This window comes from Homo sapiens, chromosome 16 (genome assembly GCF_000001405.40).
Source record: "Homo sapiens chromosome 16, GRCh38.p14 Primary Assembly".
NCBI lineage: Eukaryota > Metazoa > Chordata > Mammalia > Primates > Hominidae > Homo > Homo sapiens.
Window position 1 is genome coordinate 4,437,938 of NC_000016.10, and position 11,314 is coordinate 4,449,251.

The following is an 11,314-nucleotide window of genomic DNA, read 5'->3' on the forward strand; positions in this document are numbered from 1 at the left end:
AGAAAAAGACCTTCTCTCAAAAAATAAAAAATTAAAAAAAAAACAAAACAACAACATTCTAAGACTAACTTGGAATCTCAATGAAGAACAGGATCCAGGCCAGGCGTGGTGGCTCATGCCTGTAATCCCAACACTTTGGGAGGCCGAGGCAGGTGGATCACCAGGTCAGGAGATCGAGACCATCCCGGCTAACACGGTGAAACCCCGTCTCTACTAAAAATAAAAAAAAATTAGCCGGGCATGGCGGCATGCGCCTGTAGTCCCAGGTGCTGGGGAGGCTGAGGCAGGAGAATGGCGTGAACCCGGGAGGCGGAGCTTGCAGTGAGCTGAGATTGCGCCACTGCACTCCAGCCTGGGCGACAGAGCAAGACCCCGTCTCAAAAAAAAAAAAAAGAACAGGATCCAATAATCTGTACTAATAAAGTTCCCCAGGTAATTTACACTTGTAGCTGGATTTGGGAATTCACAGTTGGATTAATTAATTCAGCCCTTATTCAATGACATCCCCTTCCTCCACCTCAGGGCATCACTGCTTTTTGGGGATAGAGGTTATTGTAAAAGTAGAAGCCCATTATTGTCCTATAAGAATGTCAATGTAATCAGAGGACAAAGCATACATCTCTGAAAACAGCTATTGACCCCACTTCCATAGTTTTCTGAAAGTAGACCTTTTTCCCAGATTTTTTGACAATCTTTTCTTTTTTTTTTTTTTTTTTTGCTTAAGAGACAGGGTCCCTCTATGTTGCCCAGGCTGGTCTTGAACTCCTGAGCTGAAGAGATCCTCCTGCCTCAGCCTCTCAAATTGCTAGGATTATAGGTGCAAGGCACCAGACCTGCCCGACTTTGGCCATCCTAAAGGGGTTCAGTATATATAGGAGCTCATATATCTATAAGAGTAGACAGCCACGTAGAAGAACAGGCTCAACTCAGTAAATCTTTTTTGAGTAAATATCTGTCAACTAGATCTAATGAAAAGTTTATTTACTAGTGTAATTTTAAAATAATATGTTCTTATTAGGTAACTCAAACTAATTGATAACATAACTAAACAGTCTTGGAACCTGCTTCTATGGAAGATAAGATTAATTTTTTTTTTTTTTTCAAGAGTTGAGGTCTCAGCCAGGTGCAGTGGCTTACGTCTATAATCCCTATAATCCCAGCACTTTGGGAGGCCAAGACAGGCAGATCAGGAGGTCAGGAGTTTGAGACCAGCCTGGCCAAGAGACCAGCCTGAGCAATATGGTGAAACCCCATCTCTACTAAAAATACAAAAATTAGCCAGGTGTGGTGGTGGGTGCCTGTAATCCCAGCTATTCAGGAGGCTGAGGCAGGAGAATTGCTTGAACCCGGGAGGCATCAGTGAGCCGAAGATTGCGCCATTGTACTCCAGCCTGGGCAACAGAGCGAGACTCCCAATCAAAAAAAAAAAAAAAAGAGTTGAGGTCTCACTCTGTTACCTAGGCTGGAGTGTAGTGGCGAGATCACAGCTCACTGCAGTCTCAAACTCTTGGGCTCAAGCAGTTTTCCTGCCTCAACCTCAACTTCCTGAGTAGCTGGGACTACAGGTTCCCCACTGCACCCAGAAGATTCAATTTTTAATGGGGCGGGGGGGTGTTATTCTTGTGAATGTGTTTTTCCACATGGTTAGTTGATCTGATGTTTCTGCCAGGGGCATGAGTTTTGGAGAGTCCTAATCCACCGTGTTGCTGACTTCTGTCTTCAAGGGGGATGTTATTAAACGGACCGAGCCTCAGAACCTAAGAGCAGCAATTCCTTGGGAAGGGCTGGAACCAGGAGATAAAACCCACCAGGAAGTCATGAACTCCCACCTGACTCCTCCTCTGCCAGCCTTCCTCCTTTGCATCTTAACTGGGTGCCCTAAAAGTTACCCTAGGCACCAAGCTGTCCTCCACCTGCTTTCTTAGTCCCCCTCCATTCTAGGTGGAAGTGTCTTTTCCTTTGGAGGAAGCGTACTCTTTTCTGTTTGGCCTTAAGGATAGTGCCTATTTTTTTGAGATAGTGTCTCACTTTGTTGCCCAGGCTGGAGTGCAATGGTGCAATCACGGTTCACTGCAGCCTCAACCTCAACCTCCGTGCTCAAGCAATCCTCCCACCTCAGCCTCCCAAGTAGCTGGAACTATAGGCGTGCACCACCATTCTTGGTTAATTTTTTTGTATTTTTCTTGTGATGGGGTTTCACCATGTTGCCCAGGCTGGTCTTGAACTCATGAACTCAAGCAGTCCACCTGCCTTGGCCTCCCAAAGTCCTGGGATTACAGGTGTGAGCCACCATACTCAGCCTAGGGCAGTGTCTTTTTAATTAAAGAAAAAAAAAGTAAGACAAACACATAAAAAAAAGATACAAAGTGAGGGCCAGGCACGGTGGCTCACGCTTGTAATCCCAGCACTTTGGGAGGCTGAGGCAGACGGATCACGAGGTCAAGAGATCGAGACCATCCTGGCAAACGTGGTGAAACCCTGTCTCTACTAAAAATACAAAAAAATTAGCTGGGCGTGGTGGTGCATGTCTTTAGTCCCAACTACTCGGGAGGCTGAGGCAGGAGAATCACTTGAACCCGAGAGGCAGAGGTTGCAGTGAGCCGAGATCGCGCCACTGCACTCCAGCCTGGCGACAGAGCAAGACTCCCGTCTCAAAAAAAAAAAAAAAGATACAAAGTGAATACTACATTTTTCCTTGTCCCTCCCTAATCCCCCTTTTTGAGGTAGTTAGTCCTTATTAACAGTTTTGTGGGCCAGGCCCAGTGGCTCATGCCTGTAATCCCAGTATTTTGGGAGGTCGAAGTGGGAGGATCGCTTGAGGCCAGGAGTTTGAAAGCAGCCTGGGCAACATAGCAAGACCCTGTCTCTACAAAAACTTAAAACAATTTGCCAGGACTGGTGGTGTGCACCTGTAGACCCAGCTACTGTGGAGGCTGAGGCAGGAGGATTGCTTCAACCTGGGAGGTTGAGGCTGCAGTGAGCTAGGATTGCACCACTGCTATTGTCGTTGCTGTTACTTCTGTTACTCCGGTTGTTCTGGCTTGCAGAAAACCTTTCGATGAAGGTAAGGGTAGGAAGCATAAATTCTCTACGAGGTAATGTCCCCTGAGGAGAGAGGTGAAGTGTGAATCTGTGAAGAATCCAGGGTGCCTGTGAGGTCAAGCGAGGATCAACACAAACATTTTCCCAGCATGCGCGACGGCGGGAGAGTTCGTGAGACTTTTGGAAGCACTTCACGCCCTACACTTAGCATTCAGTTTGGTCATCTCATCCCTCTTCTAGGTGCTAGTCACAGGCCCACCCCAACCTCATAGGATGTGTTTGCACACAGGGCCACTTAATAAATGTTATGGCTGCCTTATTTGCTGTGAACTCTTGTCTGTATTCCTGGGCCTTGGTAGACCTGGGATGCCCAGTGGCTCTGCCTTTCACTGTAGGTTTTGAGTGATGAGGTGAAGAGGAAGCAGTACGATGCCTACGGCTCTGCAGGCTTCGATCCTGGGGCCAGCGGCTCCCAGCATAGCTACTGGAAGGGAGGCCCCACTGTGGACCCCGAGGAGCTGTTCAGGAAGATCTTTGGCGAGTTCTCATCCTCTTCATTTGGAGATTTCCAGACCGTGTTTGATCAGCCTCAGGAAGTAAGTTCCTCACTTGGAAGAATTATTCAAATTTTAGACTAAGTATGGGTCAAACAAATTTTTTTATCAGTTTCTGTTTCTCAGAAAGGCAAGGCAGCTTAAATGGAGTGATCTGGAGGCAGCCATTTTAGTAGAAAATAATTTCAGTATTTGAAAAATCGCATAGGTAGTAATGAGTATGTCCATTCTGATGGTATTCTTAACAGTTGCATAATGAGGTAGCACCTAAGGCTTTCAGAGCCCATGAGGGTGTGAGTGTTGTCTCTCATCTGCTACAGTATTCCAGGAGAGTTCTGTCCGGTGGGAAGGCACTGCTGATCCTCTCTCATTTATGTCCTTATAAGACACTGTCAGAGTGGAAGAGAGAGGGGATATATTTATGATCTAAATTATGATTGTGGATCATTCAGGCTGTTTTTAAGTGCCATGTACGAGTATTTATCTGTGAACATTTTCAGTCTGTTGAAAGTACGTTTTCATTTAAGTCATACATTATCTCTTAAAAATCCCAAAGAGTAGGGCAGAATTCGTTCAGTGAGTCCTACCTATGCTTACTTGGCAGAGTGCAAGTAAGTACAGTGGTGAAAGAGTGACTGAAAATGTGGGCCAGTACCCTCCTTTCCCTTTAGAGCCGAGCGTCAGTTTTGGTCGTTGCAAACAAAAGTTGACAGGCTGTCCCTTGGTTTCTTTAGTACTTCATGGAGTTGACATTCAATCAAGCTGCAAAGGGGGTCAACAAGGAGTTCACCGTGAACATCATGGACACGTGTGAGCGCTGCAACGGCAAGGGGAACGAGCCCGGCACCAAGGTGCAGCATTGCCACTACTGTGGCGGCTCCGGCATGGTAAGGCTCTGCCCGAGACTCCACCTCCCACGGCTTGCACCACTGACTGAGAAGAGCTGGTTGTGGCACTGCTCCCAGAGAACGTATGCTGGGAATTGGGGGAGTTGGTGAACTCAGCCTGGCTGTCTTTCCCCCGTGACCCTGAGGAGACGAGCCTGTGCTCCTCTTTCCCTGATACCACAGGCTCAGCAACCAGAGCACAGCAGCTCCGGGGGCGGGGCGGGGGATTGCATCCAGTTGTCACTTTCTTCTTTATTTTTCTAACAATTGCTTTGGTAATTCAAGGGGAAATAATCTTTTTTAAATGTACTGTTCAGCTCCCAGGAGTCTTCAGGTACTTCTGTAGACAGGCGGTATCATATTTTTCAGTGTCGTGTGGTCAAGTTGATGATCTGGAGTGCAGAAGTTTGTGTGTTCTAGAAAATCAGATGAACAGATTGAGGCCCTGCACCTGGGTTCCTAGGCAGTGTGTTTGAGTGCACATGCACATAAAAAACAAGCCTTAAAGAGACATTTTTCTTACGCACATTGTGGTCCCAGAACCACCCATCAGTTTACCTGCGTACTTAGGTTACCATTTTTCTTGTTTTTATCAGGAAACCATCAACACAGGCCCTTTTGTGATGCGTTCCACGTGTAGGAGATGTGGTGGCCGCGGCTCCATCATCATATCGCCCTGTGTGGTCTGCAGGGGAGCAGGACAAGCCAAGCAGAAAAAGCGAGTGATGATCCCTGTGCCTGCAGGTGGGTGCTTGGGCCCGCCATGTCCAGGAGCTTGGAGAGGGCAGACAGGGTTGAGGCTACCACACCGTGTGGAGAGGGTGGACAGGGCCGAGGCCACTGCACTGAGTGTGAGTGGGCTCTTGGTAGAAGTTATGGTTGAGGCCCTGGAGCCCCAGGCTGGAGGAGGAACTGGAGTCTCCTTGAATCTTTCTGTTTCTGCCAGTTATCCTTAAAATTTACACTTTGCATGTCACAATGGGGAGAAGAGACCTGACGTGCCTACTCTGCTTCTTCCTGGTGAGGGAGCAGCTTCCAACCCCCGGGCTCCTCTCCTCTCTCCCCTGTCTTAGTCACCGAAGCCATCATTGTCCCTGCTGCCACCCTATCTACATCAGCCCCACGGATCCCACCCCTCACTCCATGTCTACTGTTCCCTTGCCCAAAACTCACTTTCTGCTTTCTTTTTTCGGTTAACTTTATTCATCTTGGAGATCCCAGCTTGAGTATCCCTTCCCTAGCTAGCCTCACACCCTCCTCCCTGTTCTTTTTTTTTTCTTTTTTGAGACGGAGTCTCGCTCTGTCACCCAGGCTGGAGCGCAGTGGCCCGATCTCGGCCCACTGCAAGCTCTGCCTCCCAGGCTCATGCCATTCTCCTGCCTCAGCCTCCCAAGGAGCTGGGACTACAGGCACCTGCCACCACACCCAGCTAATTTTTTGTATTTTTAGTAGAGACGGGGTTTCATCGTGTTAGCCAGGATGGTCTCGATCTCCTGACCTCGTGATCCACCCGCCTCGGCTTCCCAAAGTGCTGAGATTATAGTCATGAGCCACCGCGCGTGGCCTGCTTTACTGTTGTTTAGATGTCTGTTTCTCTAGAGTTGTGAGCATTTCCATTGAAGAGCATGTCTCTGTTTGTAGTTATGCATTAGTGCTATCGTTTGGTTAACACCCATCACCCCAGTGAGACCATGAACTCCCTGAGGTACTGCCTAGACCAAGCCTGAGGCAGGTGCTCAGTCATCAGGTGTCTGTGTTGCATCTCTGGAAGGTTACCCATGTGCCTCTTAGATAATGACATTGTTCCTCGTTAATAAGAAACAGGAGTGGGGAAGAAGCTGTGGGTTACAAGTGGATCTTGGGTGGAAAGTGCTGTGGGAGGTCTCACAATAACTGCTCCCTTTCTTTTTTTTCTTTTTCTTTTCTTTTTTTTTTTTTTTTTAAGACGGAGTCTCGCTCTGTTGCCAGGCTGGCGTGTAGTGGAGTGATCTCGGCTCACTGCAACCTCCGCCTCCTGGGTTCAAGCGATTCTCTTTCCTCAGCCTCCTGAGTAGCTGGGACTACAGGCGTGTGCCACCACGCCCAGTTAATTTTTAGTAGAGACCAGGTTTCACCATGTTGGCCAGGATGGTCTCGATCTCTTGACGTCATGATCTGCCCGCCTCGGCCTCCCAAAGTGCTGGGATTACAGGCGTGAGCCACCGCGTCCTGCCTAACTTCTCCCTTTCTAATGTCCCTTGTAGGAGTCGAGGATGGCCAGACCGTGAGGATGCCTGTGGGAAAAAGGGAAATTTTCATTACGTTCAGGGTAGGTGCCCTGCCCCGCACAGCTTCTGTTGGGCCTTTCCTCTCTTCGGGTGGGTGTGGCTGAGGCTGCTCCCATGTAATCAAAGCTTCACAGGAACATGTCTCGCCATTCATGTTTCTGAGGGGCACAGTGGCCACCTAGATGTGGTTTTTAGCTGTTTGTTACCTTCAAGATTCTGTGCCTTGTGTGGAGAGAAGACAACTTCTTCAACATGCTAACAAGTTAGAAATACAGGTCACATAAAAATACAGGAAACATCTTGTGTTTTTATGATAAGATTGTTGATGAGGCAGTGAGTGTGAAAGTTACAATTTTACATACTGTATACAGGGGCAAACCTTGGTTTTCTGAGATGGTGGAAACATTAATGAAGACAATGCCTTCTACTGGCAATTGCCCTCCTATGTGTACACCTGAGAAAAACCCACACAAGCCTAGCAGGCGATAGGTACAAAGGGGTGCACAAGAGTCCTGTCCATGGTAGCAAGACACTGCCTTCCTCCAACAAGAGAATGGCTCAGTGAGCCGTGGTGGTCAGAGGCTGCTGCAGGGCAGTCGGAAGGAAAGAATGAGAGCTGAACTCAAGGGATGCTCCAGGCGTTGCAGGTACAGACAGCAGGGATGGAAGGCAGCTTGCCAGTGGCTGTAGGGCCTCAGAGACCATCTGTGTAAAGTTTTAAAACCTGTGAGATGGCATTATGTATTATTTAGGGACACGGAAATACATAGTAAGTAGAAGCTTGTAGGAATGATAAATGTTAAAGTCAGGGTTGTGGTTAGCTGAGGAGGGCAAGACTCACCGGTGTTTATGATGTTTTATTTTATTTTACTTTATTTTTTGAGGTGGGGTATTGCTTTGTTGCCTAGGATGAAATGCAGTGGGGCAGTCTTGGCTCACTGTAGCCTCAGACTCCCTGGGCTCAGGTGATCCTCCCACCTCAGCCTCCTGAGTAGCTGGGACTACAGGCACACGCCACCAGGCCCGGCTGACTTTTGTATCTTTAGTAAAGATGAGGTTTCACCATGTTGCCCAGGGTGGTCTCAAACCCCAGGGCTCAAATGATCCACCCACCTTGGCCTCCCAAAGTGCTGGGATTACAGGTATGAGCCACTGCGCCCGGCCTGTGATATTTTGTTACCTCCACTGGGTTGTGGGTATGACATGCTTGTTATATTATTTACTCTTCCCTTTTTTTTCTTTTTTTTTTCTGGAAAGAGAGTCTTGCTCTGTTGCCCAGTCTGGAGTGCAGTGGCATGATCTCAGCTCACTGCAACCTCCACCTCCCAGGTTCAAGCGATTCTCTTGCCTCAGCCTCCTGAGTAGCTGGGACTACAGGCATGCGCCACTACACCCAGGTAATTTTTGTATTTTTAGTAGAGATGGGGTTTCACCATGTTGGCAGGCTGGTCTCGAATTCCTGACCTCAGGTGATCCACCCACCTTAGCCTTCCAAAGTGCTGGGATTACAAGCGTGAGCCACCACGGCTGGCCTATACTTTCTAATAAAGTAAGATTTTTTTTTTTTTTTTTTTGAGGTGGAGTCTCGCTCTGTTGCTCAGGCTGGAGTGCAGTGGTGTGATCTCTGTTCAGTGCAAACTTCATCTCCCAGGTTCAAGTGGATCTTCTGCCTCAGCCTCCTGAGTAGCTGGGATTACAGGGGCCCGCCACCACACCTGGTTAATTTTTGTATTTTTAGTAGAGACAAGGTTTCACCATGTTGGTCAGTCTGGTCTCAAACTCCTGACCTCAGGTGATCCACTCACCTTGGCCTCCCAAAGTGCTGGGATTACAGGTGTGTGCCACTGTGCCTGGCTAAAGTAAGATTAAAAAAAAAAAATCAAAAGCCAGTTTTACATTTTTGTTTCCCTTCACGATTGAATGGCTTGATCTGAGACTGAGGAAATCCAGGCACGCTTCCATTTCGGCATTTCAAGTGTGTAGAACATTGCAGTGTTGAAATATGTAGAACATGTCATTCCTGGGCCTGGGATGGTGTCTCCTTGTTGGAAGGACAGTTCTTTCCCTCAACACTGCACTTTATGTATGGAAGGGGTGTGTAGTTTGTCAGGTCTGAGCTTGGGCCTGGCCAGGCATGCAGCTGGTGTTTAGTCTGCAGTGGACTTATCTTCACATGCATCTGTCATGTTTGGCCTTAGGTGCAGAAAAGCCCTGTGTTCCGGAGGGACGGCGCAGACATCCACTCCGACCTCTTTATTTCTATAGCTCAGGCTCTTCTTGGGGGTACAGCCAGAGCCCAGGGCCTGTACGAGACGATCAACGTGACGGTAAGAGGGTGTGAGAACACCTTTGTCACCCCTGTACTTTATTGCTCTTTTTCTGAAATGGAAAAGAACTGACCAGTGGCCTGGAACCCATGAGTGACCAGCATGTGGGGGGGCACTCACAGGGGAGGACATGAGGAATTTTAGGCTGCTCCTTGAGTGTGGACCACAAGCCACAGGCCTTGAGTCTATAATCGCATGGGAAGCAGTTCCTGGCTGGCATCACTCCCACACTGGTTAGCGGGGCCTGGGAACTGGGCGCATTCAGGACACAGAAGGGTTCACCCTGGGTTGTGCTCTCTGCACTTGCTTCTGTCCAGTGTCTGGCTCCAAGAGCAGAAGACTCGGGCGGTGCATATCCCTTTTGCCACAGTGATGGCTGCCTGTGTGCTGCCAGCACCTGTCCCCCACCTCTCTCTTGACCTGCCCCTCCAGCTCTTCCCACCTCCAGGCCACATCATTCTCTGTATTCGCCTCAGAACCTTCTCCAGCTTCTTTGTGGGGAACCTTGGGGTAACCTCCATGAAGGAGGTGGGCATTTTGGGCCAAGGCTTTCTCCTCCATCTGGGGGCTATTCCCTGGCTTCTCCAGGGTCCTGTGGTTCCAAGGGCCAGGGAGCGACCTCAGCCACGCACCCTGTATTGGCTTTTCCTGCTTTGCTCCCTCACTCCTGCTTCCTGGGCTCACTTGCCCAAACTCTTGCCCCCTCATCCTAGTCACAGGCTCTGCTCTGGGCAGACCCAACTTAGCTCATTTCCATGTGCTTGTGGGCGGGCTTGGCCCAGAAACCCAAGTGGTGGTTCTTTTTTTTTTTTTGAGATGGAGTCTCGCTTTGTCGTCAGGTGCACGCCACCACACCTGGCTAATTTTTTGTATTTTAGTAGAGACAGGGTTTCACCGTATTTCCCAGGCTGGTCTTCAACTCCTGATCTCAGGCAGTTCACCCGCCTCGGCCTCCCAAAGTGCTGGGATTAAAAGGCGTGAGCCACTGCGCCCAGCCCAGTGGCAGTTCTTTTTTTTTTTTTTTTTTTTTTTTGAGACAGAGTCTTGCTCTGTCGCCAGGCTGGAGTGCAGTAGCGCGATCTTGGCTCGTGGCAATCTCCGCCTCCCAGGTTCAAGCGATTCCCACCTCAGCCTCCTGAGTACCTGGGCCTACAAGCACGCGCCACCATGCCTGGCTAATTTTTTGTATTTTAGTAGCGATGGGGTTTCACCATGTTGGCCAGGAAGGTCTCAATCACCTGACCTCGTGATCTGCCTGCCTCAGCCCCCCAAAGTGCTGGGATTACAGGCATGAGCCACTGCGCCCGGCCTTTTTTTTTACCCACCCCCTCCACCACCGCTCTGCCGAGACAGAGTCTTGCTCTGTCAGCCAGAGCTGGAGTGCAATGGCACAATCTTGGCTCACTGCAACCTCCGCCTCCCGGGTTCAAGCAATTCTCCTACCTCAGCCTCCTGAGTAGCTGAGATTACAGGTGCACGTTACCATGCCCTGCTGATTTTTGTATTTTTAGTAGAGACGGGGTTTCATCATGTTGGCCAGGCAGGTCTTGAACTCCTGACCTCGTGATCAGCCTGCCTCGACCTCCCAAAGTGATGGGAGCGTGAGCCAGTGGTAGTTCTTTTCAAGGAATTCCTATCAAGATTGTCTTCATGTAGTGAAAACTTTTTATTTGAGCAACTGGGGACCAGGGGAAACCACAGATTTTCTTTCTTTATAGATCCCCCCTGGGACTCAGACAGACCAGAAGATTCGGATGGGTGGGAAAGGCATCCCCCGGATTAACAGCTACGGCTACGGAGACCACTACATCCACATCAAGATACGAGTTCCAAAGTAAGTGCCCCCTAGGCTGTGGCCAAGCCCGCCTGGTCCTGCGGTGGCACTGCCCTTGGAGCTCTGTGGCTTGGGCAGGTTACTGCTCCCTGTAAGTCAGGTGGTTCCTGCCCGAGTTATCTGTCTGTAAAGTGGACATAGTAGAATGGTCAACTTCTTTTTTTTTGAGATGGAGTCTCGCTGTGTCCCCCAGGCTGGAGTGCAGTGGCGCCATCTCGGCTCACTGCAACCTCCGCTTCCCAGGTTCAAGCGATTCTCCTGCCTCAGCCTCCCGAGTAGCTGGGATTACAGGTGCCTGCCACCATGCCCGGCTAATTTTTTGTATTTTTAGTAGAGATGGGGTTTCACCGTGTTAGCCAGAGTGGCCTCAATCTCCTGACCTAGTGATCCACCCACCTTGGCC

The 11,314-nt window shown here is 49.3% G+C and overlaps 1 protein-coding gene across 4 annotated transcripts in view; it reads left to right on the forward strand.

Moving 5' to 3' along the window:
* The window catches only part of DNAJA3 (DnaJ heat shock protein family (Hsp40) member A3), a 30,908-nt gene that overhangs the window by 12,070 nt on the left and 7,524 nt on the right, over nt 1-11,314 (forward strand). For 3 of the 4 annotated variants that reach the window (NM_005147.6, NM_001135110.3, XM_047434875.1), the window contains exons 4-9: nt 3,438-3,638; nt 4,331-4,483; nt 5,080-5,227; nt 6,727-6,791; nt 8,949-9,077; nt 10,796-10,911. In NM_005147.6, the coding sequence (NP_005138.3) occupies nt 3,438-3,638; nt 4,331-4,483; nt 5,080-5,227; nt 6,727-6,791; nt 8,949-9,077; nt 10,796-10,911 (812 nt within the window). The remainder of the gene's footprint in view (nt 1-3,437; nt 3,639-4,330; nt 4,484-5,079; nt 5,228-6,726; nt 6,792-8,948; nt 9,078-10,795; nt 10,912-11,314) is intronic. The other variant, NM_001286516.2, reaches the window with a different exon arrangement.